We start from the raw sequence: 27,817 nt of genomic DNA on the forward strand, positions 1-27,817 counted from the left end.
TGCGCCCGCCTGGCCGCCGCCCGCTCTCCCGGCGCGGCAGCTGTCTGGGCTGCTGCGCGCCGCCTAGGTGTCTGGGCGATCTATGGGCAAGAGCAAGGGCCACGATGACAGATTACGGCGAGGAGCAGCGCAACGAGCTGGAGGCCCTGGAGTCCATCTACCCTGACTCCTTCACAGGTGACTCCCGCGGCCGCAAGCCTGTAGCCGCCCCGAGGTGGAGTAGGACGGGCAGGAGCTGCCGCAGCTCTGGGCCTCATAGGTTGGGGTGGAGAAGGGGACCTTGAGGCCGCGCGGCCACCTTGCCCTCCACTCCTCAAGTTCTTCAGTCACTTACCAGCAACCCAGTGACTTTTTCTCCTTCTCTGCTTGTTCCCGGAAATCTAAAAGTCCGGGTGATGTTGGAGGGTGTCAGGCCTGAAAATTGAGTCGGGATTACTTTGGTTTCTGTGTAACCTACAGCAACCTGAGATTTATAATACATTAAGAGAAAAAATACTCCAAGTGCGATTCGTTTTTCCACAGCCGCAAGAATGTTAGTTTTCACATTTTTAGCTTTATTAAGGTAGAAACTGTTTTTCATACGATGCTGTTTTAGTTTATAGGATTCAGAGTGCTGTTTTCAGTTACTCAAATCGGTTTTGAGAGTAGCATAGTCCCTGAAGTCTGTCGGGTTTCTTTTCTTATGAAAAAAAAAAAAATCTGGCATTCAGCAGAATGCCTAATGGATAATGTGGCCCAAATTTCCGTTCTGCTATAAATTCATAGGTTGTTAGATTGGAAGGGAGATTAAACATCATCTATCCTGGGGCTCCTGCTCCAAGCCAAGGTCATGGGGGTTCAGGAAAGCTAAGTGGCTTGCTCTGTACTGTCCGCCAGCGAGTTAGCGGCAGGGCTGGTACTGAGTTATACGTCCAGAACGCTTGCCTGTTCTTTCACTTTCCAGACATATGGGACTTGGGATTCAGCTCCAGCTGAGATTGAGAGAGCAGAAGATTACTTGGTAGGTTGGGCTAATGTAAAATATTATAATGAGAAGTTCATTAGGTATAATTTAGAGGACGAGATTTCTCTATTAAGCCATGCTTCGGATGATTATAAAAATGCTACATAACTATATCAATATGGCTCCTCTGAGATTTGAGAAGCGGTCAAATAAAGCCAATATGAGTGAGTAGAACCTAGGTGTGTGCATTTACATTCCCCATCCTTTCCTTTGAGTGTTGCCTATCGTTGATAGTCAGAATTTATAGTGTAAGGTATATTACTTTAACTTATAAATTCCAACCCCTCTCCCTTTCATTGTTTAGCTTAGTTTTCTTGGCTTCACCTTTTGACCACTGCTTGCAATGGTAGCAAATTTTGTTCTGCTTTGCCAACAGGCAGATGTCTCTCAGCTATCCCTGTATAGCTCCAGTCCTGTTCATGTTCTCTCTCACCAGCAGTACATCTGTGCTGTGAGGATGTTAAGGGGATGAGTGAAGAGGGGTTTGAGAGTGTCATTAACTGGGTGAGTGTGTATGGAGTCTGGCTCCCTTCTCTATCCTTGCTTATATGTGTATGTCTAAAATAGAATATAGGGTCAGTTGTTGGATATATTCTTAATCATGTTTGGTCATTTCCAGTACTTTGGAAACATACTAGGTATGAACACTGTAGGCAGAGTCAAGACAGCAGGATGTGCTATTCTTTTCATTTCTTTGGACATAAGCTATCCCTCGCTAAATCCTATGCATATAAGCATTTATAAAACTGATATCTTTTTTTGTTTTTAACCCTGAAATAATCTTGTGGGTATTTCAAATTGTACTAGGCCCTGACAGCTCTGGTATAGTTCGCTATGTGAAATTCTTATCAGATGCCCAAGTGCTTGAGGATTCTGAGCCAGGGTAATAAAAGACAATTTATGAATCTTTTGATGCATTCAGGTATTCTGCATTATCAGATGAGCCATCTGTCTCTAACTCCTGTCAACATTTCTACAAGCTTTGCAATAAATAAATTAAAATGAGGTGTCTTTATTTATAGTTCTTAGGGAACTTTGCCTTCCTAGTGATCATGTTCTTTATGAAAACTCTTGGGGAAAAGGCAGAGGACTTTGAAATAAAATGTTTCCATGTTTGATCTTTTAAAATCTTGGAGATTTGCAAGATTTTCTGTTTTATAGCCTTCTTTTGTATTTATGATTCCATACTTTTGTATTCTCATGCCAGGTTTAAGAAAGAGATCTTGCTTGTGTCGGTTGGCCAAGGAACACTAAATGGGAGTTTTGTAACTTCATTTTGAATCACATTTAATTATTGAATTTGGTTAATGCTCAATACTATTAATGAAGGAAATAGATATACTTTTTTTTTTTAATGGATGACTGAGTGCTTGACAAAGAAGCATTTGTTAAGTACACGTGACCCCATGTGGATGCTGAAGAGACACAGTCCAGCCTATAGACCTAGGCACATAGATTTAGCCTAACCTCAGAATTAATTGCTTTGACTATTTGCAAAGAAGTTTTGGTCCAGTGTTGCATTTGTTGTGATTATAACAAATCATAATACAATTTCTTCTTTTTGCCTATTCTGTAGCTTGATTGCACATTGATCCAACCCTCCTAACAACTAGTCTTCCAAAATATAAATGGACTCTCCTGATACCACATTCTCCTTCAGTAGTGCTTCACTTGACAAGGTCCTGCTAAGGTAGTAGAATTTGGTTATTTCAATTTATGTATTGAAATCTCTGGCTGTGGGGAGTTTTATTGAAACGCATTTGTTGGCATCAGGTTAACCAAAAGCCAAGTTTCCTTAATTCTGTTTGCCTTACAAAGAGGAGTACATAATCCTGTATTTCTTTGTCAGTACCTCTAAGCAGCAGCCATTCACATTTGACAGTTATAATTGTATCTTGAGATAGGTAAGAAGTCGTCCTGTAAAAGCAGTTTGTTCTAAGTCATACTTTTTGAAAGGTCAGACACTCCCTAACAACCAGAGGTACTTATTTTAATATGGGCTCTCTCGTATTTTGTGGAAACTAAAGGTAATTTGTGTATCTCTTAATGTACCTTTTAGCTGCTACCTCTATTATCCCTGTTTTTGACAAATCTTTAATTCTGTCACTTTCACCACCATCTGTCCCCTAACATCTCTCCTGCCCTTCCTCTGTGGCCAACAACTTACTTTCTTTCTTTCTTTCTTTCTCTCTCTCTCTCTTCCTTCCTTCCTTCCTTTTCTTTCTTTCTTTTTTTCTTTCTCTCTCCTTCCTTCCTTCCTTCCACCTCCCCTCCCCTTCCCTCCCCTCCCCTCCCCTTCCCTTTTTTGAGACAAGGTCTCACTCTGTCACCCAGGCTGGAGTGCAGTGCCCCAATCAGCTCACTGGAACCATGGACCTCTTTACTCAAGTGATCTTCCCACCTCAGCCTCCAGAGTAGCTGGGATTACAGGCTCGCAGTACCATGCCTGGCTAATTTTTTCATTTTTTATAACAGCAGAGGTCTTGCTTTGTTGCCCAGGTTAGTCTCAAACTCTTGGCCTCAAGCGAGTCTCCTGCCTCCAACTCCCAAAGTGCTGGGGTTATAGGCGTGAGCCATTGCACCTGGCCCAGCTTTACTCTTTTTCTCAAAAAAATTTTTTTTTGAGAGAGAGTCTCCCTTTGTTGCCCAGGCTAAAGTACAGTGGCACCATCTTGGGTCACTGCAACCACCACCTCCCAGGTTCAAGCAATTCTCCTGCCTCACCTTCCCAAGTAGTTGGGATTACAGGGTGTGCCACCATGCCTGGCTAATTTTTGTATTTTTGGTAGAGACTGGGGTCTCACTATGTTCCCAGGCTGGTCTTGAACTCCTGGCCTCAAGTGATCCACCCACTTCGGCCTCCCAAAGTGCTAGGATTATAAGCGTGAGTCACCATGCCTGGCCCTCAAAAGTATTTTGAATTACTTACAGTGGTGGAAGTCTGGCATCCTTAGTGAAGACTAATCTTTCTTCTACTTACCCTAACTCACAGTAATGCATGGTAATGGGATTAGTCCTTTATCAGAACTTAGGAATTATCTATTTTTGTGAATCCAATTAAGTAACTTTCCCATCCCTATTTTAGTTACTGCCCAACTTTGAAATATCCCTTTTTCTGTTTTTAAAAAATACTTATTTTAATAGGATTAGGTTCATCTGTGACAGAAAACCCCCAATAACATTGGTTTTTAAAAAGGTAAAAACTTATTTTGCTCTTGCACATATAAGAGAGTTGTGGCAGCTCTATTTCAAGAATTCCTCAGGGACACATCTTCTAATGTAGCTCTCTGTCATCCCTAAGATGTAGTCTTACACTCGTGGCCAAGATGGTGACATTCCATTTCCAGGAAGCAGGATGAATAAAGGAAGGAAGAAGAACAGAGAAGTAAGAGATGGCAGTTTCTTAAGGAAATTTCCTGGAAACTGTCAGAGGGCATATCTACTTCCATCTTTTTAGTGGGAACTTAGTCATTTGGTGAGAGCTAGCTGGAAATGAAACTGGGAAATGTAATCTTTATTCTGGTAGTCAGTATGCTCAGTTAAAAATGGCATAACTTTAAGAGTGGATATTGGGAGACTTTTAGCAGTACTTCCCAAAATCTTTTTTCTTTGCCGTACTTGCTTCACGTTTTTTTCTCTATAGTGGCAACTTTATGTAGTGTCCTTGGACAAATCACTTAGCCTCTCCAAGCATTAGTCTCTGTATCTGTTTAATGAGAAATAATGTAAGTGAAAATACCTTATACCTTATAATTGTAAAACAAACATATGATACTCTTTACTAGAAATACCATCTTAGTTGTTGATTTTTCCACTAATATGGCTTCATAATTTCTTGTCTCTTTCAACTAATGATTTTGATTTCCACTTTTTTTTAGCTGCACATGGGCGTTGCCACACCTTGAAAATGCCATCTCTAACATTTTGGCCTCTGAAAATTACTCCTTCCCATAACCTTTGTACCCTGTAGTTCTTTTGTTCCCATGCTTGTATTGAACATGCGTCTCATGATTTCTCATGGATTGATAGTTCATCAGTTTCTTTCTGGTCCATTTTCCTCCCTGTTCTATCTGGCTCCCCAGGTCCGGTAGTTCACTGATATTCTTGCTGACATTCCCATATCTTTTGGTTTCCTCATTTACCAAATAGTTACTATATGCATTTTTTTAGGATCTCAGCTTGGGGAAACAGACATCAGATAAATTTAGGGAGAGGGGATGGTCTGAGTTGTTTCAGAAAATTTAGGAGTAATGACAAGTTAACAAGTAAATGAGACTAGGGAAAGGGTATTCCAGCCTGGGACCCACATATGCAGAAACAGGACTCTGAGGGATCAGAATATGTTCAAAGGACAAGTGATTTGGGTATTGCTAGAACATGAAGTGAGAAGTGAGAGTCATGGAAAATGAGACTTGACCAGTAAGCAGGGACCACATCACAGAGGGCCTTGTCAGGGACTTAGATGTGATCTGACAGGGCAATAGTTCATTGCCCACTTTATTCCCACACAGACAATATAGTGCATATTGTAGACACTGCCACATCAGACTCAGATTCTAATAGGTAGGGTGGCTTCACAAATAAAATAGACTTTGAGTTACACATATTTTTTAGTGTGTTATTTGTGATTCTACCCCTTTCTCAGAACTCATTCCAACACACTTTATATGGATAGGGAACTGCTGCTGTAAGCAGGTAACAATGTGATAAAATCTGCTTGCTAGGAAACTGACAAGAGACAGTGGGCAGGATGGGGTAGAATGAGGAGAATAATTCTTCATATGCTCTTGAAACTCACTTCCCTTGATTTTCATAACACTGTTATCTCTTGAGTTTGTTATTATTCCTCTTACTTTGTTTTCCAAATTGAGAATTCCTTAAAAAGCTTATGTTGGCTTTTATTCTCTGTGTTACATTTCTGATGATCTCATTTAGTCTAATGGCTTTAGCTATCACCTCTGTCTAGATGATCCCAAATTGAATTAAAGCCCAGCTCTCTTTGCCACCATTCGCCCATTTCTGATTGCATGTTCAACACTTCTAACTGAAAGTCCTAAAGTGTCCTTAAAATATATCATGTCTGATTTTTTTGTTACTACTCATTTTTGTTAGTGGCATCACATTCTCAGCCTGCAGCCTGCCAACTTAAAATATCATCATCACCATTTCCTGCTATTCCCATTGCTGCCGACCTAGTTCAGGACCTTATTACCTTTGCCTGGATGATTGCAATAGTGACCTAGTTTCATACTGCCTGTAGTCGTCTCCCTCCTTTCATTTTATGTGCTGTTGTTAGATTTGTCTTCCTATGTTTTGAGAACAATTCTGATCATATTATTGCTAAAAAAAAGATTGTGCGCAACTAAACTTTCAACTGTATTTTCACCTAGTTTTCTTCGCTCACATATAAGTTCAGCAAATGGAATAATTTCTTATTCCCTATATATATCTTTAGCTTTGCCACCATTATGCCCTTGCTTCCATGGTGCCTCAAGTGCATTTCCCTTCTCCATGTCTGCTTGCCAATGTGCCACCCATGATTGACAGCCTAGCTCAAATGACTTTCTTGGAATTTCTCAGCTGGAAATATGTTTTCTTTTTAAATGATGCTCTATATAGTTTATTCTGTTTGTTCAGTTACTACCTGATAACCTTGGACAAATTATTTAAAAGCTCTCTATCTCAGTTTCCACATCTGTAAAATTGGGGTGATAGTATATTTAATAGTTTTTAAGACATATTTTACACTTAACATCTCTGAATTCTTATGAACTTTTCTTATAATCAGTTACATGTCGGTTTAGTTGGCAGCTTATTTTTCTTTCTTAGTGGTATGTAAAGCATATCTCATACTTGATGGCATTGAAAATTTAGTGAATTATAGTATAAATCATGGTCTTGTGCCAGAAGTACAGGATTTTCATGTTAATGCATAGCATAGCACAAGCACAAAGTGATGCTCAGTAAATGTTACCTGTTGTAATTGAGTATTGGTTACCCCTGACCTATAGCCTCAGGGAGTCATAGAAAGTGGTAATAAGTTGGAATGTCATTGGGCTGATCCCTTATTTCTATAGTTGCAGTGTTTACATTTCATGACTTGTAAATGTTAAAGTTGGTCATGAAAGGAAATAAGAATGAAATACATCAACTATATTTTACATATATTTGTAAAATATAGACAAGCCCAACCATATTATGGCTCTATTATAATAACCTTTTGGTGGGCTGAAACTTTTTTCAGCATGGGCTGGACTACCCAAAACCTATTAAAATATGAATCTACTGAGTCTTTTATCTAACACTTTTCTAGTAATCACAGGTGTTCATCATTTCTTAAAGTACCTTAAATTCAATTAAAATGAAGACATCTATCTTGAAAATAATTGGTTTTTGGGGTTTTCTTTTTTTTGAGACAGAGTCCTGCTCTGTCGTCCAGGCTGGAGTGCAGTGGCGCAATCTTGGCTCACTGCAACCTCTGCCTCCCAGGTTCAAGTGATTCTTGTGCCTCAGCCTCTGGAGTAGCTGGGATTACAGGCATGCGCCACCACGCCTGGCTATTTTTTGTGTTTTTAGTAGTGATGAGGTTTCACCATGTTGGCCAGGCTGGTCTCGAACTCCTGGCTTCAAGTGATCCGCCCGCCTTGGCCTCCCAAAGTGCTGGGACTACAGGCATGAGCCACTGTGCCCGGCCAGAAAATACTGTTGATAATATATATTTATGATGGCTTTAGAAAGTTCCCAGGTAGGAAAAGTTGAATAGTTCCCATGATTACTTCTTCAGTAATCCATTGCTCTTTCATTCTGAAAAAGTCTGCAGAGCTGCTGCCAACCTTGACAAGTACCAGTGCTTCCTGGACAGGGAGTGAGGCATAGGCTTTTCTCATAGGCTTAGCAGCCATCCCTGGTAGCTTGAAGTTTCCTTGTTTACTTTTCAAATGGTTCTGAGTACAAGTTTTCTTTGTTACTGTTTTTCCTCCTTTCATTCTATTCATTTAGTTCTTGTTTTATTGGGGCAATATTAATTGAGTTTCTAGATACTGCCAGATACTGATCTAGGAGCTCTCATAGAGTTGTTATAGCATTCTTGTTGAGGAATAGATGATAAACAGAGATGAGTATTAGATAGACATAGGCTATAAAATGACATACAAAGCTTTGTTATTTATATAAATGTTGATTTATGTGTCTTGTCTTGCTTAGTAAATTACATGCAATCTGATGTTTACATTCATAGCTAATTCATTTTATAATTCTATGAAAGATGGTAGAGGCTTAGTAAGCATATGTGAAAGAAAGTTTGGTTTTAGAGATGATGTGGTAGAGAATGACAGCAAGAAGACATAAACTTTAACAAATCGGTATTTACTGTTTGTCATGGAGATTCTGAGTTATATCTCACAATATATAAGTATAAAAATCAGTGAAACATGAGTATCAGTGGGTAGTTTCAGGTGAGAAACATGAAACTCTTTGCCATTATTTTTGGGATTTTTTAAGAATGTAATTTTCCATGTATAGGTGGAGATTTTAAAATAAACGGTAAACTACCTCATTTTTTCAGTTGACTTGGTAAAACTCCAAGAGGGTTATCTACCATAGTTATTTCTTTCCAGATTAAAGACAACCCTCCATTTAAATAGAAAGTTGATGGTAATTTTATCATTTCAGTGTTCTGTTCAGTCTGTATTTGTGGAAATGGAAATATAGCCTAGGGACCAGTTTCTAGGACTGGGTACTGATAATTTGCTAATAAGGAAAAGCATCTGCCTTAGAAAGCATTTCAATAACTTCTGTGTGTATTTTCTTGCAGTATTATCAGAAAATCCACCCAGCTTCACCATTACTGTGACGTCTGAGGCTGGAGAAAATGATGAAAGTAAGTCTTATAAAAAATACTTGTGGTTTTTCTAAATTTCTCAGGAATTTCACTCATTCTGTAGGCATTATGCTGGATATTGTCATGTGGAGGTGCTAAGGGGCTGTTACGAATCTGCTATGAATGTTGTATATTTCTAGTCAGAATTTACTGTGTGAACATGACTTCTAGGGAAATAGAGAGGAAATTAATGAAATATAGTCTGGCACAATAAGCTTAGTTTTTAAAAGTGAAATAGTAATATTAATAATACAGCAGATGAAAAAAGGTAGGAAACTTTTGTTTTGTTCAAAGCAATACTTCACGTGCAAACATATTTCAGTGGTTGTGTGGTTCCTTTGAGTGACTATTATTTTTTCATGGCTGTTTTTCTCTTTGAACATTTAGATTGTTCACTGGACATTTGGTGTTATAAATGGGGCTGGATATATGTCTGTCTGCATGTTTCTGTCTCTTTCTTTTGAAATAACGTAACTATAAAAACCAATAAATTAAAGTTAAATAAATTAAATTTGGAGATGTTTGGGGGAATGGTATCTGAAGTTTATTTCTACTTTTAGTCACGTTAGTTGATATGGTAATTTGATAAAAAGGTTATGTAAATTGGAACTAACAACCCTACACATTTTTTTACCCCCTTTGAAGCTAGTAAACCTAAATTCTGCCAGGAGCAGTCATTAATAGCCAACTTTTATGGTATTACTTGATAACTCCAAATCTGTCTAGTATACTTGAAAATGAGGTTTGCATTCACACATTATTGAAATCTGACTTAAAAGGATATTGAATACATTTATTTACTACCAAATTGATAACCAATATACTTTTGCAGATTGGTATCTAAAAATTTTTCTGTAATGCTTTAAAGCATGAAATAAATACTATACTGACTGTTCTTCAAACCATTTAAAATTTTCCTTTGTAAATAAGCCAGTGGCATGATTTGGGCTTCATATGATGCCATTATGGGTTCCAAAATGGTGTGGTGATGCTCATTGATAAATAATCCAAATAAAATTTTCTTTAAGATTACGCTGAAATGAAAAATAAAATATAAAAATTTCTTGTGAGAGCTCCCATATTCTGAATAATAGCTTTATTAGGAGCTAGTAATAGCTCTATGAAATAGGTGTACTCAGTGCATTATCCACCATACTTTCAAAATTATTTCTTTGAAACTAAATCCTGCATTGTACTTTTTTTTCCCCAAAAACTCCTTTTTAGTGAACAAACTAGTAGAAAAGTGGGCAAAGGGCATTGATATACAATTTCTAAAGGTAGTATTAAAAGAACGATCTCACAGGTAATTAAAAATGCAAGCTAAAATAATATATCCAGCAAATTATTAGTATTGGAAGATAGCATTATGCTGTTTGGAATATGAATCGAAACACATGTTCAGGAGAACTATTGGAATCATGAAGCAGGAGACTTTGAAAATGTTCATATTCTTTGATACAATGACTACTGTATTTATGGGTATCTATTCTAAGCACAGTATCATAATACAAAATAATACATGCAAGGATGTTTATAATGTCATTGTTTCTATCTTAACTAATAAACAGTGACATACTTATAAAGTGGAAGTATGGTTGTATTGAATAAAGACTTGGAAGTATTCTCATGTTATTTTTGAGATTTTATATTTATATATGAATATGTACATTTTAAGCAAAATTTTATCCATCTATACATAAAATTTTGTTTAAAATGTAAATATATGCAGATAAAAATAATGTAGTTTTATGAAATATTTTTAAGATACTTAAAATATACCAAAATGGAAATAGCGATCTCTTCCTGATAATGGGATTATTTGTTATTTTATTTTTCCATTATTTTATTCCTAAATTTTCTCTACTGAATGCCTTTTACTTATAGTAGAATCAGTTTTTTTTTTTTTTAAACTTAGTTATTTAAATGGTTAAATGCATTTTAATATACCTGCATGGTGAAAATCAATTTGCAATTATTTACACTAAGTGTTAAAGAATATTCTCAGGATATAATGCACATGAAGCAAATCCAGTATAAAGCTCTATTCATAGAAAAGAGGAAGAAACTAATTTGCCACAATGATAAACTTTATTTTTTTAATTTACTTTTTAATTTTTTTGGTAAGAACATTTAATATCTAATCTCTTGGCAGTTTTTAAGTATACAGTACATTATTCTTAGCTGTAGTAATAATGCACTACAATAGATCTGAAGTTATTCATCCTGTCTTAAACCTTTTATCCTGTAACTGATATCTCCCCATCCCTGATATCAGTTATAAAATATCTTCTTTCATGTATGATTTTATTCATTTTCGTCTTCTCCCTTTTTTCTAGTCTAGCTGTTTCGTTAGACCTTTTCTATTGTTTTTCTGATGTATTTCATTTATTTCTGCTCTGATCTTTATTATTTTCTTCCTTGTGCTGATTTTACACCCAGTTTTTTCTTTTTCTAGTTCCTTGAGGGGCATGTTAAATTGTTTCTTCAGATCTTTATTTTTATTTGATTGTAGGCATTTATTGCTATTAACTTTCCTCTTAGAACAGCTTTTGCTTCAACCCATAAGTTTTGGTATGATGTGTTTCCATTTTCTTTTTTTTTTTTTTTAATTTTTAAAATTTTAAATATTTTTTAGAGACAAGGATCTTACTCTGTTGCCCAGGCTAGAGTTCCATGGTGCTATCTTAGCTCACTGCAGCCTCCAACTCCTGGGCTCAAGCAGTTCTCCCACCTCAGCCTCCCAGATAGCAAGGACTACAGGCACATGCTACCACTCCCAGCTCAATTTTTCAACTTTTTGTAGAGATGGGGTCTCACTCTTGCCCAGGCTGGTCTTGAACTTCTGACTTCAAATGATCCTTCTACCTTGGCTGTCCAAAGTACTGAGATTACAGGCATAAACCCCAGCGCCTGGCCATGTTCCATTTTCCTTTGTCTCAAGATATTTTTAAAGTTCCCTTTAAGTTTCTTCTTTAATGCATTGATTGTTTAAAGTCTGGGAGGTAGTAGGAATGGTGAGATGCTGGCCAAAGGGTACAAAGGTTCAGTTATACAAGATGAAATAAGTTTGGGGATCTAATGCACAACATAGTGACTATAATTAATTATAGATAATACTGTATTGTATACTTGAAATTTACTGAAAGAGGTGATCTTAAGTGTTCTCACCACATACACACACACACACACACAAATCATAATGATATGAGGTGATGTTAATTAGCTTGGTTCTGATAATCATTTCACAATATATATGTATATCAAAACATCACATTGTACACCTTAAATATATACAATTTTTATTTGTCAAGTATACCTTAAGAAAGCTGGGGGGAAGAAATAAAATGGAAAAAAAAATCTTGTTCCACCAATAAAACTAAAAATGTGCTAATAAAAGAAGAAAGGAAAATGCCAGAAGATACTGTTTCTTACTGACCTCTAACACTTAATCTTTTGCAATTTTTGGTTCATAAAATTCCTTGTTAATATCATAACATGAAAAATAAAATATCAAACCTGCAAATTTTAAAGTGCTTTTTTTCCCCGTCCATGAAGAGCAGTATAAATTTGTATTGCTTCATCAAAATCAGATTTTAATAATATAAAATGTGAGTTACACAAAAGATGGCACTCTGGGAAAAAGGTCATTGTGAGTAATAAAAAGTCTTAACAGAAAATGTTTAGCACTACTGCTTAGTTGCAGACTGCCTGGTGGAATTGAGAACTCAATGGCCTGTGCTGCAGAGAGGCACCTTGCACTGACACGCCCATAAGAGTTTTACTTCCGTACAAGTGTGAGATCCGTAAATTGACACAGACTAAAAGAGTGAGTGAGAATATATAGATGAATTAGGTTAAAAGTTTCCCATATAACCTTTTATACTCTCGAGGTCTAAACGGTGCCATCCAGCCACTAATTAGCCCTGCTGACATTGTGTGGATTCAAATATAGATTCGAGGGCTATAGCCAGATCTTCTGCAGGTAGGAACTGGCTCTGGTAGAGGCTGAAAATGAGCATACGGTAGTCTTTTTAAAAATATGTTGTATTCAGTGCCTTTGTTTATCTTAGGAAAGGTTTTTAAAAAGTGACGTTTATCCACCCTCTTTCTCAGACATGCAGTCTGGTAAAATACCAATAAGTGGTAAATGTGCTTCACGTGTAAGTGTGATTTTTGGTATTCCCATGATTTGTTTCATGTATCTCTTTGTGATATGTGTTGTTTACATTAGTGATTATCCATCTGGTCTCTTAATAACCTTTTTCTTTGTAGGAAAATCTATTGTGCTACTTTCTACTGATTCAGCAAAGATATCTACCTCTTTACTTTTAAGGTATTCACATCAAACTCTTATCTTGTGTCTTAGCTGTCCAGACTACCCTCAAGTTTACATACAGTGAAAAATACCCAGATGAAGCTCCCCTTTATGAAATATTCTCCCAGGAAAATCTAGAAGATAATGATGTCTCAGACATTTTAAAATTACTAGCATTACAGGTAAGGAAATAATAATTTTATGTTTTGTAGCAGCATTTATTGGCCTTAAATATTACATATTAATTTCAAGAGTTAGAAAATGCTATTGTGTAAACAGAACATTGACCAAGTGGAATTCATGTTACATAATCACAGAGCATCTTTATTTTTGTTTCCTACTGTCCCTTTAAAATTTGAGTAATAGAATTTGTCCCAGTGCCCCTGCTTGAAACTCAGTCAGCCTCATGGCTTTTTCCCTCATGTCATTAGTGATAAAAAGTCCAACGGGTACTTTAAGTTGTAAACAGTGTTTTGATTTGGTTTTTAGAATGCCTAGTCCCATATGTAGCTACAATTTTCAACTTTTTAAAAAAATTAAAACTTCTTCCCTCTCTGACTTTTACATGCTAGTTGCCTGCAGTCTGGGAAAAGGACTGGTAATTGATTTTTTTTCTCCCATCTCTCATCCTCCCAAAGCTTACAGACAACAATAATGGCTTATGACCCCTCTATGAGGGGAGGCTTGTGTGGAAATAAAAATGGATATTAAAAAAAGTTTTTACTGGATTAATTTTATTGTGGGATAGGCTACCTGTAATCTGGGCTTGGCAGGTATTTAAAATATACTCATGCTTGGGTAGACAGTTTTCATGGGGTTCTTCAGAGTAGAGAGTAGGGAGGGGGGTAAAATTCTTACTCCACCATCTTAAAGTCAGAAGTCCTACCTTTATTTGTTTACTCTAAGAAGAATTGACAGAAAACATATCTCCACCTTATATGTGACTTACATATTCTAAAGATCAGTGGTCACCATAATGTTGATGTTATAGAAATATCTGGAGCTGTTGTACAATGAGGAGTGAAAGAAGATATATCAGATAGGAATTTTTGCTGATGTTGGGCCCTATTCACCTTGTTACCTTGCATGAAGTTATGCTAATTCTAACATCTTTTTTTATATATTTTTATTTTTTTTGAGACAGAGTCTTGCTCTGTCACCCAGGCTGGAGGGCAGTGACATGATCATGGCTCATGCAGCCTTGAACTCCTGGGCTCAAGTGATCCTTCTGCCTCAGCCTCCCAGAGTGCTGGGATTACAGGCATGAACTACCTTGCCCAGCTCTTCGAACATCTTTTAAAACATTGCAGAGAACCTGGGATGGTTATGCTATATTCAGTCAGTCGTACCTTAATGTAAATTATTCAGTCTAAGTGAATTTTTCCATGTTTTTAGTATTTTGTTTGTACTCAAACTGTCTCTTTTCAAAAAGGCTGTTTTGATTTATTTGACACCTGCCTGACCCTCAGGTGTGATCAGGGAGTATTTGTCCTTTGTTTTCCAAAAAATAATCGTTATAATTTTCCAGTATCAAAATAATAAATTCATATTGCAGAAACTCAGAAGATACAAAAAATCATGAAGAAGAAGAAAATAAAGATGATTTTTAATTGTACCAACTATGTATAATTAATTGTCTATTAACATTTTGATGTGATCTAGTGTGAGACTTTTTTTCCTTATGGTTATATACATAGTCCCCCCTCCCACCCAAGTTTGATCATTTTATGCATAATGTTTTATAATATTCTCTTTTGCACATAATATATGTGAGCATCTTTTCATTTCAGTTACACATATATGAGTCATTATGTTTGGTAATCATATAGAATTTCATTGTATGTATATATAATTACTCATCTTTTTGTAAAACAGTTTACAGTTGTCTTTCATTTTTGCCTGATATATAATTAACAAATAATCAAGAATTAGTATATAATTCTTTCAACATTCTTATATATCACTACTTGTAAGTCCTTAGAGCAGGTTCTCTTTTGTACTCCTAGTGCCTTGCACATAATAGACACTCAAATGTTTGTTGAATAAATGAAAAGAATGAATTGCTGATAAGTATGGTAGTTCAGTGTTTCCTGGAAGTATGATTGCTGGATTAAAGGGAATGCATACTTAATAATTTCATACATATTGCTAATTTGGCCTTCAAAAAGGTTGTGCCAATTTATGATCTCACTGTAGTCATTGTGGTATCTGTTTTCTCACATTTGCTAATACCAGATATTTACACTTGGACATAAAATGATGACAAGGTGAAAATGGAATGTAATTATAAGTTGCATTTTAAAAATACTAGTGATGTGGAACTAGTATGACTTCCGAGTTATCCAGTTTCCATGTGAATGATTATTTTTTTGCTTTTCTATCGGAATACTTAACTTTTCTAAAAGATATCCTACTTTTATTGGATATGAAAGTTTTGTTATTGAAATGTGTCAAGCATTAGGTTGAGTGAACAAGAAAGACACCATCCCTGGTCTCACAGATTTTTTTCTCTGGTGAGAAGTGTGGATTAGCAAATTGGAAATCATTATTCTGTATGAAAAATACTATGACAGAATCTTATGAAATATAAGATTATATGGGTTGACATAGACAAAGTTCTGTAGAAGCTTCCAGGAGTAGCTGAGAGCTGTAGGAAGAGTTGGCCAGGAAATAGAGTTGAAGAATTTCAGGGTAGAGGAACCAACTTGTTAAAGGATATTGAGGTGAGAGAGAGCAAGTGATTGATTGTTTCTCCTAGAACTTCTAGTCACACAACATTTATTGAACTTAGGATTTGAAGTTGGTGGTGATAAGTGGTGTAACTAAAGGGCTACTTTCTTCTTTGAAGGGTCTCCTAAATGTTCACAAAATATGTATTTGGTCCTGATTGGTTTGCGAAGCTATGAAGGGGTTTTAAGCAAGACATTGACTAGATCAGTTTTGTGGTGCTTCAGTTTATAAATTGATTAGTTCTCTCTGTGACTCTCTCTGTGTGTATGTGTGTGTGTGTGTGTGTTTATGTATGTATGTATATATTGAGTGGTCAGGGGAGGTTGATGTTAGGTTTTAAGATCATAGCTTTTAAGAAGACCAGTTAGGAGTTTCTTGTATTCCAAGCTGAAAATGTTGGTACTCCAGGCTAGGCTTATAACAGTGTTGATGGACAGACTTAAATGACGTTTAGGAATAGGTAAGTAGCAGTGATGGAGCTTATGATGGGATGGGGATGTTCAGGCTGGGTGGGTGGTGGTGTGATTTGTGGAGATTCATAATCCAGGAATAGGTTTTGAGGAGAAGATGATGGTTGTGTGTTGAGATGACTGTGGGACATCAAGTCACTGCCCAAAATAGTCAGTTTTAATATGGGTTTGTCACTCAGGAGAGAAGTTTGTTTAGTCATAGATTTAGGATGGTTAGCATAGAAACACCACAGAGAAGCCCTAGTGAATTTGATTGTAGGAGCTAGCTTGAAGCCTAGTACTCATAGAGGTCCCAGGAGATGCAATACCTACTCAGATGCTGCTGAGGCCAGCCCTGTCAAAGAAATGCCTAGTAATCTCTGCTTCTAGCACTGAGATTCTGGCTAGTATATTTTGAAATTATTTTTGTCTTCTTCATTGGAACCCTATCTTGTTATTTTTTTCTGCCTTCAAATGACCAACTTCCTAATAGCCTTTTGAGTTATATCCTTTTCATGAGTTCGAGATTTTTTTATATTTGGTTTTAAACCATTTCAAATCTAAAGAAAAAAAGGTTGATATAGATAAACTACAGTATTTCTTACATTCTTTATTATTATATTATTTTAGAAATCACTCTGGCCTCAATGCAGTTCATTGTCACAGCTCTTAAAATAGAAAGAACTAAAATACTGAAAACATGCTGGAGAAAGGATGTTACTAGTTACTATAGGAAACAGTTTTCTGAATTTTTACCTATATGATTATTAAACAGAATTTGCTGAAACACAGTATCTGTTTCAGGTTGGATATGGCACATTTACACGACTTTTTAAATAAGATATTATTATTTATATATATGCTTACTTAAATGATCTTTTATTGAACTGTATGAACATAGAATATAACCAAATTAGTAATTATTATAAATGTATGGACTTTTATTTTTCTGAGAGTTATTCCTCATCACCTTTTTGTGTTACACAGGCTGAAGAAAATCTTGGTATGGTGATGATTTTTACTCTAGTGACAGCTGTGCAAGAAAAATTAAATGAAATAGTAGATCAGATAAAAACTAGAAGAGAAGAAGAAAAGAAACAAAAAGAAAAAGAAGCAGAAGAAGCTGAAAAGGTATATTTAAAAGCCTTGTTTTCTTTTATTATTTCTTAAATCAGTTTTCAGTTGCTTGGTTGGGTTTTTTTTTAATCAATAGCAGTATTTTTTTTGGAAATCACAAAAATAAATAAAAGTAAATTTTAGTAAAGTTTCACTAAAATTGTAGAAGTCCCTCATTTGGTTGGTGGCATAGCATGAGTAATGAATGATAATCAGTAAAAAGTTAGTAAAACTCATGCAGATAAGACCAAGAAGTATAAAGATTTCACCTATGATATAGAGCCAGGGGTGTCCAATTTTTTGGCTTCCCTGAGCCACATTGGAAGAAGAAGAATTGTCTTGGGCCATACATAAAATACACTAACAATAGCTGATGAGCTAAAAAAAATTTGCAGCAAAAAAACATGTTTTAAGACAGTTTACGAATTTGTGTTGGGCCACATTCAAAGCTGTCCTGGGCTGCATGTGGCTCTCAGGCTATGGGTTGGACAAGCTTGATATAGAGTTTAGAATTATAAATCCCCTATACTACAGTGAATTAAATAGTTACTACATGTAAAGAAAACCTCATATTTTGAAATGAAGTGATAAAGCAATGATTTAGTATTAGAAATTGATGTGTATTCAAAACATATCAGTTTTGACAGTGTATTAGTTCGTTTTCATGCTGTTGATAAAGACATACCCAAAACTGGGAACAAAAAGGGGTTTAATTGGACTTAGAGTTCCACATAGCTGGGAAGGCCTCAGAATCATGGTGGGAGGTGAAAGGCACTTCTTACATGGCAGCGGCAAGAGAAAAATGAGGAAGAAGCAAAAGCAGAAACCCCTGATAAACCCATCAGATCTTGTGAGATTTATTCACTATCATGAGAATAGCATGGGAAAGACAGGCCACCATGATTCAGTTACCTCCCCCTGGGTCCCTCCTACAGCACATGGGAATTCTGGGAGATACAATTCAAGTTGAGATTTGGGTGGGGACACAGCCAAACCATATCAGACAGCAACAACTTTCTTCTTAACAATGAATAGCTATGGTGGTAAATACAGTGAATACAATGCATATTATCTTTGTTTCTTGTAATAAGAATAAAAAATGGACTACTCCAAAGTATGTTGCCAAAACCAGTGAGAGTAGCCAGTGCAGGCAGAAATCAGTTTAAATATTTCAAAAATTCAAACATTAATTTTTCTGTTTTTCTTATAAGGGGTTATATTGATATGTTTAAAAGATACTGTTAGGATTTATTAAACTGCTGTTTCATTAATCTGGTGACTTTTTTTTTTTATTTCCTAAGCAATTATTCCATGGTACTCCAGTTACAATTGAGAATTTCTTAAATTGGAAAGCCAAGTTTGATGCAGAACTCTTGGAAATTAAAAAGAAAAGGATGAAAGAAGAAGAACAAGCAGGAAAAAATAAATTAAGTGGTATGATTCCCCTGCCATTCCTGTTCTTCCTAAACCCTCCTGTATCATTTTTTATATAGCAAGAGGATCATTTGGTCAGATTTCTGTAAGAAAATAATATACATAGGCATCTAGGACAAAAAGAGAAAACATATCTACCAGATGATGTTTCTCCACTCATAATTTGTAATTAATTTTTATGGCTTATCTTTGATATAAGTATTATAATTACTAGATCCTGTGATAGAAGGACATTCAGGATCATGTCTTAGAAGTAGTAGAGTCAAACCCATTTGTTTTTCTAGTACCCCAAGGCAGACTGGGTTTTCACTTGTTCCATTTTAATGCAGATACATTTCATATGCCACTTAGCTACTGAATAAATTCAGAAATTTATTGAAATTCACAGAAAAAGAGGTTTTCAAATTTGCTTTCTAAGTATTGTAGTGAAAATGGAGAAAAACTATGCCATTTGAATTAAACATACTTTTTTTTTTTTTTTAGGGAAACAACTATTTGAAACAGATCATAATCTTGACACATCTGATATCCAGTTCTTGGAGGATGGTAAGATAATAGTAGAATTCCACATGTGGGACAGGCACAGTAGCTCAAACCTGTAATCCCAGCATTTTGGAAAGCCAAGGCAGGAGGATTGCTTGAGCCCAGGAGTTTGAGACCAGACTGGGCAACATAGTGAGACCCTGACTCTATTAAAAAAAAAAAAAAGAATTCCACATGTATATAATGTAGTCTCTTTAATTTTGAACCATGAAAATCAAACTGAACTTTATTTATTGTACATTTTTCCTCCCAAGGCTGTTAAAAAATACATTTTGGAGAATAAATTCTAGTGGTTGACTAATTTATACATTTGAAATTAATGTTGTAATTCTATAGCAACATATATTTTAAATTTTTTGGTAACTTAAGCAATATCAAAGATAGAAGTAGACAATGATGATCACACCAGCCTCTCACAACTAGTAAACCAGGTTATTGTGACTCAGGTGACCTGTTTTCTTCAAATTTCTAGTATCATAAATCTGTGAAAACTATTCTATGGACTGTCATGGAGCTTGTAAAAACCTCATGTTTAACTCCTAGCATCCCCTCTCACCAGACTTTCATATGACTCTTGCTGTATTTGGAGCATCTAGTCCCTTGTGCTTTTCTTCTACCACCTATACTCTTCCATCTATCCATCATCGATTCATTCAGAAATATTGATTGCACTGTCCTGGCCACTGAGGATACAGAAGAGTACAGTATGGGCCAGTTCTCTCCCCTCGGGAGCTTATGGCCTACATGTGTTTTCTTAAACTGGGCTCCATACTCAGTCACACCTTTGATAGCACTCTAGAGTTCCGTACTTCATTAACCTTTTGTTGTATCTGTCTTGCCAGTTGGGAATCCTTTAGCTTCTGGCCTTTCAGCCTTGTTCTGGATTACCTGCTGAAGAAGGTTAAGAAGCAGTATTGATATAGCTTACTGCTAAATGCTTTCTAATCTAAGCTAGGCCTTTACTGATAGGCAACATTTTAAAGTTTTTGATACCTTTTCCTTTTCTGATTTCAATGTTTTGTCATTTTCACCTGGATTTTTGTGGTAGTTTCTTAAATTATTTCCCTAAACCTCTTCCTCCTCCTAGTGCCATTACCTATTCTATAGTCACTCCCTATGAGATGGTATTCCTAAAACCCATATTTAATCATACAATTTCTCTCCTTAAAATCCTTTGATGGTTTCCACTGCTTATAGGGAGAGAATGACCTACACAATCTTTCTCAAATCTGGCCCTCATCTACGTTACTTTCAGGTATTTTTTCTCAGGAATTTCATCTTCCAGTTAGAATTATTCAAGGTCTTATATTTTCTCTCTGCCTTTGTGTATACTTCTACCTAAAATTGCTTCATCCTGGCTCCTTTTCTTCTTGGTGGATTCAAATTTATCATGAAGATATTTCAGACTTCATTTGCTCCATGATGCCTTTGCTATGTCTCCTAGACAGAGCCAGTTATTCTTTGGCCAGGACTTAATTGTATTACCTACTTCAGACACACTGAAGAGTGAAGATGTTTAATGCAGAGCCTGGGTATTGTTTCCTGTAGGCTTTAGACATTGTAACTGAAGGCATACCATTGGCTAAAAGGGGAACTGGGTGAGAATGAAGATCAAATCAAATCAATTAATTAACAAGTATGGCTGAGCTTTAACGATGTGCTTATCTACCACTACTGGAAGAGATAACTCCTCATACAGGTCCCATGATCAGTGATAATCAATTTTCTATAACCAGGAGAACATATTATCCTTGTCTTCAACATATAAATGCTACATTATAAATTCTAGTAAGCTTTTTTTAATAACTGGATTTTTAGACTATGAACTAGGAACATGAAGTTGCTCTTAAAATTTCAGAGTCTCTACTGACCAATGCAAATCACTGTTGATAACTGTAGTTTGGGATTTCATCACTCCTACCTCATATGCAGATTTGGAGATTTCTGTTTGGTAGTGCCAATGAGTTTTATCTTCTATTTCTGAGTATAAGACTAAAGGAGATTTTTTTTTTTTTTTGGTTGCCTTTTGCAGCTGGAAACAACGTGGAGGTAGATGAGTCTTTGTTCCAAGAAATGGATGACTTGGAGCTGGAGGATGATGAAGATGATCCAGACTATAATCCTGCTGACCCAGAGAGTGACTCAGCTGACTAATGGACTGTCCCCATCTGCAGAGAGGCTTGACTGCCACAGCATCTGTGGCTATGCTCAGAGGGTTATGATTTTCCTTTCTTTTTTTCTAAGAAAAAATTATTTTCAGGAGAATATTCTTCTGATAGCTTTCATCATTGAACTTAATAAACTGACCTTAAAATTTCAAATATAAAATGTTCAAGGCTTCTTACTGTTGAGCACAAGGTTACGTATTTAAAATCACCTAGTATTTGAGAGAGATCCTGCCTATAGCACCAAGACTCGAAGGTAGGCTGCTGCTGTGCACATGAGTTTATACACAGGAAATTGGAATAACTTGGAATTTCTATGCTGGAGACTTTGGCTACTTCTGGATTTCAAGCATTGTATGAAGTGTGAGAAAACTGAGGTGACTAGCACATTAAACCATCCAGATTCTAGCCTCCAGGCACACTAAATTTAAGTCTTGATAAAACCAGGAGGCCATATTATGATCATAAGTAAGATGAAGTTTAGCCTTCCTTTTAGTCCATTTTGTATTGCCGTAAAGGAATATCTGAGGCTGGGTAATTTATAAAAGGTTTGCCGGGTGCGGTGGCTCACGCCTGTAATCCCAGCACTTTGGGAGGCTGAGGCAGGTGGATCACGAGGTCAGGAGATTGAGACCATCCTGGCTAACACGGTGAAACCCCGTCTCTATTAAAAATACAAAAAATTAGCCAGGTGTGGTGGCGAGCACCTGTAGTCCCAACTACTCGGGAGGCTGAGGCAGGACAATGGCGTGAACCCGGGAGGTGGAGCTTGCAGTGAGCCGAGATCACGCCACTGCACTCCAGCCTGGGCAACAGAGCAAGACTCCGTCTCAAAAAAAAAAAAAAGGTTTATTTGGCTCATAATTCTGGATGACCAGAAAGTTGAAGATTGGGTATCTGCATCTGGTGAGAGCCTCACGCTGCTTCCACTCATGGTAGAAGGGGAAGAGGCACTATGTGTGTAGAGATCACATGGCCAGAGAGTGAGGGTGGAAGTGCCAGGCTTTTTTTTTTTTTTTAAACTAGCTTTGGTGGGAACTCCCTCACCCCTGCTCCCCACAGGAAGGCATTAATCTATTTATGAGGGATCTACCTGCTATAACCCAAACACCCCACCAGCCCCCATCTCCCAACACCACCACACTGGGGATTAAATTTCAATGTGGGATTTGGAGAGGACAAATATCCAAACCATAGCAGTCTTAAAGTATTTAAATTAGAATTTAAATTAAAATTTAAATTACAGTATTTAAATTAGAATCATTTGTGGAGTTTCTAAAAGGTATGCATTCCTAGGCCCCTCTCAAGTTAGATTTATGAACACTGATCCCCAGTCTGAATTTTAAAACAGCAAAATCTCATACTGGTTCTACAGATTATTCTGATGCACAATCTGGGTTAAGAACCACTGTCCTGTAGTCGTGAAGTCTATATATTTTGGTATTTTCTTTACCTCTTCTCTAATTAACCAGTCTGAAGGAGTTTGAATTTTGGGGATCGTACATTGTCTGCAAGAGAAACACATTAACATCCGTGCACATAGAGTCCTTTGTAATAATTTGGGATGATTGACTTGGTGGCTCCAGGTAGGAGAGCCAGTCTTCATGCAAGTTATTCAGTCACTACAGTTTTGGAGGACTGACTCTTAACCCCAATAGGAAATCAGTTGTGCTATTTTAAATTCATAAAGCTATTATAAAGAGCTGCCTCCAGTAAAAAATACATATGCCACATACCCACAAACAGCAATATTAAGCCTTCATTTATTGTTGGAGTTAGACCTTATAATCAAAAAGCAAATTATTTAAGATAAAATTACCATTGAGGAGTTTAATACTTTTCAAGGAATCTTCACGTCAGCCTTGATCCCAGACCAATAGAATGGAATAACAACAGGAATGTTCAGCATTTCTTTGCAGAGAGAAATCCAAAAGTTTGTCCTATGTGAGATTTTGCTTTTCCCATCTTTTTGAAGCTGATCAGCAGATACATAAGAACCTGGAAGAAGCTGCTCAATTAAGGTTAAAAAAAATAAAAAGCAATTGTTAGCAATGTGGTGCTGAAATCAAGACTTAACTTTGAAGTGTCAAGAATGATAACCTCCCATCCACTTCATGTGATTTTTAAGAATAAATTTTATATATTTCTCCAGGTATTAAAGTGGATGTCCACCTTTGCCATTTCAGAACCTAAAGGCAGAATCTAATGGTAAAATGAAGACAACCTAGTTGTCTTCTAATAACCTAGTTAGTTCTAATAACATTCTCAAATATTTTCATCTAGAGTAAATATTTACTGTTGGCTTTGTATTCTGGGAATTAGCCCAAGACTATGCTGCTCAAATGGGTGCAAATATACTCTCAGGTTGCAATAGCATGACGAGTGGTATTTGAAGCAATAATTGTTCCATCTTGGATTATCGGTTTTGCTCTTTGATTTGGTAAAGTTTTTGTTTTTCTACTCGTGCCAGTTGTATTAAAATGTCACTAGGTTAAAAACAAACACAGATATGTTTATTCATTACTGTATCCCTGTAATAATGCCTGGCATGCAGTAGGTCCCTAATATTTGTTGAATGAATGAATTATAGAATAGAGTGCAAAATTAATTCTAATGTATTTTAAAGTAAAGCATGAGAGTTCAAAGAAATGTTGTATTTGCCATCTACAACTTGGAATAATGTTCCTTGATCCTGCTTTACTTCATGCACTTTTGCCAGCAGAGGTGGATGCCTTAGGGAAAAAGTTGGATAAATGCTGATCTAAGGCAACACGTCTAAATGGTTATGTGAACATTTCCCAGTTGGGGTAAAACTAAGAGGAGTGATAATAACATCTCATCAATTTAAAGGACAAGTTCACTGATCGTACTGTCATACTCCAGAGATACATGTGCCAAGAAGCAAAGAGATGCACTCTTGTATTCCAGAAAGAAGATGATTTGTAAGTGTTCAGTATTTGTGTGGCAGCCCTTTTAGGTGTAATGAAGTGTAACAGAAAAGTAAGTGAACTACTTCACATAGCTCTTAATGTTTGTCTTTCAGAGGACATACGAGTCAGGCAGCAAAAGTTGGAGCCATTGTATGATTGTGTGTCAAAATGAGAGTCACACACTTCAAGAACTGTAGGAACTAATTTTAGAAAAAGACTCTTCAGAACAGATGACACATGAAATGTGAGTTTATGTAAACATGTAAATTTGAGTAGCATTAGTTTGTTTTCTGTTTAGGAACTGTATCAGGGTGACAAAGATGAAAGAATGCTGCCAGAAAAGTATATTGTTAAATTTTCAGGCCTCCATTGGTGAAGTTTCAAGTAACCTTTCACTTAAGTTACTTGTGTCAGAGGATGGATGATGGGGTCATTTAAATTGTTGGACAAAGCCATGAAAGGACTTTTAAAATTTTGTCATAAAAATAGCCAATGATGTTTTTAATTTTACATCTAAAACTAATTTGCATTATCCTGTGTTAGTGACTGAATCTCAACTCAGTCCTCATTTTTTAGTTCAACTTTTGACAACCTTATATTCATTGACACCATGGACAGCACAGTAAAAAAATACACAAATTTCTTTTGCAGTTATTGATTTGGAATGATCACTTTAAAAGAGCCATCAAATACGCCTACATATTGAGCCACTCTTTATCATTAAGGTGAAAAGTTCATTCAATTAAGGTATTTGAGTGCTACTATGCGCCAGCCTTTCTTTGTGATAATGTTAATTTTTTTTTTCCTCCCCTCCATGAAGGGAAGAAAAAAAAATTAATTCGGCCATGAATTTTAATATTCTGGCCAGCACCTTATCCATTTGTAGCCACGCCAACAAATTTATTCTGTGATATACCAAACTTACAAAGTCACTCTGCGATTTCAGTAAGGCCCATTCCCAACATGAGTGCTGCTGTCCACGGTACTGAACCATCAATGCTAAATGGTATTTAGTTGTGGATCTTCATCCTGTCATGCAGCTAAATATTCCAGGAATACTGAACCAAGTGAGGAGAAAGATAGCAGTGGGTTGCTGCAAAGGAGGTGAGGGGAGGGGAGAGATAGCAAGTGAGAAAAAGAGAGACTAGTGGTGATGTTTTTAAGTAATTGAAGTAAAAAAGAGAGAGAAAGAGAGAGAGAAGAGGTTCTACTCAGTCCACCAAAGCTTTTTAATTTCCTTACATAATTAACATGATGAATTTTTAAATAATTGTTATATTTAGTTTTGTTCTTCCACCTTTTGGCTATTTCTACTACATATTTACTTATCATAAAAAATACTTCCTAGACCTTCCTCTTATAGCTATTGCCTATCTCTGCCTTTGCAGCTGTTCTCCTTTAAAGAGTAGTCTCCATTAGTTTTCTTGACTTCTTCATCTCCCTGCATAAAGATGAAGGGTATTTAGCTCTGAAAATCCTTTACTGTTGAATATTTAGATTGTTTTCAATTTTTACATAATGAACAATGCATCATGGGATTATTGGCTGCAAATAAATTGGAAACATAAAAGGTGTTTTAAGTTTAAATTTTTTTAAAAAAACAGGTAAAAATAAAATATTTGCCAAAGACTAAGGGTTGCAAAGCTACCTCATGATACACTCTTATACCAATACTAAAATAAACTTCACAACAACAAAATTAGTGATTGGGAAATTACAGTTTTGATGAACTTGGCATTTCAATCAAAGTCATATTTGCCACCGTTCTCTCAGTAGCTTTAGGCCAATTTCCAAATTGCTTTCGACAAATTAGTTTTATTTGTTTATATTATATTATATATATATAATATACATATATTTAAATTATATTTATAATTCTTTCAGTCAGATTTCCTGGAGAACAATAGTTGTTAGGTGCCTACCAGAAAATAGGACTAGAAAGTCATGTTGGAGCCATATTGTGGAAGTCCAAGGAAGTCGGATGGGAGCAAAGGTCATTTCAATTATATATCAAGCTTATATTCTATGGAAACTAACCCCTTCCTAGCACATATATTATTGAAAAATTATTCACCTGCTATTTTATCAATGTCATTTATAAATTAAAATTTTTCTTATTATAACTATACCTTAAAAACACCAATAAAATTGCCAGATCACTGATATTCCTGCTTTTATTATTATAAGATAATATATCAGTTCTTCAAATACACCTTTGAGTAGAAGGATGGAACTGAAAATTGATTTGGGTTTATTTAAAAGAGAAACCTTTCAACAATCCTAAATCTCAGATTTTTAATAGCATTTTTGTTGTTTGAGTATGGCCAGTTTCCTATTTATTTCCTATTTCTTATTGTTTGACAGTGCCCATTTATGTAGGAAAATCAAAATGGAAAAGTACATTAGAAAACGTATAAATCCTTCAACTTAAAGATGTATGATATTGGTATCTGGTTGCATAAGTTTCTAGTCAGAGGCTTTTCTAGTCATTTCTGTTCAAAAGTGGGATCCACCAGAATGTACACGTGATGATGGACCTTGTCTGTCTGTTCCCCAGTTTATTGTTACTATGAGAATAATGCCTAGCAGAGAGCAGGCAGTCTGTAAATACTTGTTGAGTGTATACATGAATAAGTCCTTTTGTACTACTGTTTTGTAACGTACTGTAACTTTTATTTTATTTTTTTGAGATAGGGTCTCATTTTGTCACCCAGGCTGGAATGCAGTAGCGTGATCTCAGCTCACTGCAGCCTTGACCTCCTGTGCTCAAGCCATCCTCCCACCTTAGCCCCCAAATTAGCTGGGACTACAGGCATGCGCCACCACACCTGGCTAATTATTATTATTATTATTCTTGTTTGTATTTTTTGTAGAGGTGAGGTTTCGCCATATTGCTCAGGGTGGTCTTGAACTCCTGAGCTCAAGCAATCCACATGCCTCAGCCTCCCAAAGTGCTAGGGATTACAGGCATAAGCCACCACACCTGGCCGCTGTAATTTTTAAAATAGACAATTTGTCAGATATATAGGTTGGGATAAACGAAAATGTGACAAAAGGAGCGTCCCTCTGCCAATTTAGAAATATAAATATGCATAAAAATACTTAAAGATACACGAAGCTTTGGGAAATTGCCATACACACACTCTATCCCCAGTATACCAGTATTTTACAGATTTTAAAACCAGTAACAAATATTTATTTACAATACCATTCTGCCTAAAATTTACCTATTAGCCAGATTGCTTTATGCATT

The 27,817-nt window shown here is 36.2% G+C and overlaps 1 protein-coding gene across 4 annotated transcripts, besides 4 other annotated features; it reads left to right on the forward strand.

The window, feature by feature from the left end:
• Window positions 1-80: a silencer, noted in NCBI's record as "silent region_17496". NCBI's record gives its function as "represses an Ori minimal core promoter by ATAC-STARR-seq in GM12878 lymphoblastoid cells {active_cell/tissue: GM12878}" and the evidence as "EXISTENCE:reporter gene assay evidence [ECO:0000049][PMID:35858748]".
• On the forward strand, window positions 26-26,197 carry RWDD1 (RWD domain containing 1). Of its 4 annotated transcripts, none has more exons than XM_047418863.1 (9): window positions 26-177; window positions 944-1,000; window positions 2,580-2,693; window positions 8,817-8,882; window positions 13,249-13,379; window positions 17,364-17,507; window positions 18,794-18,926; window positions 19,410-19,472; window positions 21,502-26,197. In XM_047418863.1, exons 6-9 carry the CDS (start codon window positions 17,382-17,384, stop codon window positions 21,621-21,623), a joined length of 444 nt encoding a protein of 147 aa, XP_047274819.1. In that variant the 5' UTR covers window positions 26-177; window positions 944-1,000; window positions 2,580-2,693; window positions 8,817-8,882; window positions 13,249-13,379; window positions 17,364-17,381; the 3' UTR covers window positions 21,624-26,197. The 4 variants fall into 4 exon arrangements, with proteins under 4 accessions (XP_047274819.1, NP_057188.2, NP_001007465.1 ...); NM_016104.4 differs by lacking the exon at window positions 944-1,000 and adding an exon at window positions 1,380-1,507; NM_001007464.3 differs by lacking the exon at window positions 944-1,000.
• Window positions 181-280: an enhancer, noted in NCBI's record as "active region_24996". NCBI's record gives its function as "activates an Ori minimal core promoter by ATAC-STARR-seq in GM12878 lymphoblastoid cells {active_cell/tissue: GM12878}" and the evidence as "EXISTENCE:reporter gene assay evidence [ECO:0000049][PMID:35858748]".
• Window positions 25,395-25,695: a silencer, noted in NCBI's record as "silencer 2 fragment used in repoter construct". NCBI's record gives its function as "represses an SCP1 promoter by reporter assays in K562 erythroleukemia cells {active_cell/tissue: K562}" and the evidence as "EXISTENCE:reporter gene assay evidence [ECO:0000049][PMID:32103011]".
• Window positions 25,445-25,645: a silencer, noted in NCBI's record as "peak6052 fragment used in MPRA reporter construct". NCBI's record gives its function as "represses an SCP1 promoter by STARR-seq MPRAs in K562 erythroleukemia cells {active_cell/tissue: K562}" and the evidence as "EXISTENCE:reporter gene assay evidence [ECO:0000049][PMID:32103011]".
• Window positions 26,198-27,817: the final 1,620 nt, after the last annotated feature.

The sequence above is a fragment of the Homo sapiens genome, chromosome 6 (assembly GCF_000001405.40).
Source record: "Homo sapiens chromosome 6, GRCh38.p14 Primary Assembly".
NCBI classification, from domain to species: Eukaryota; Metazoa; Chordata; class Mammalia; order Primates; family Hominidae; genus Homo; species Homo sapiens.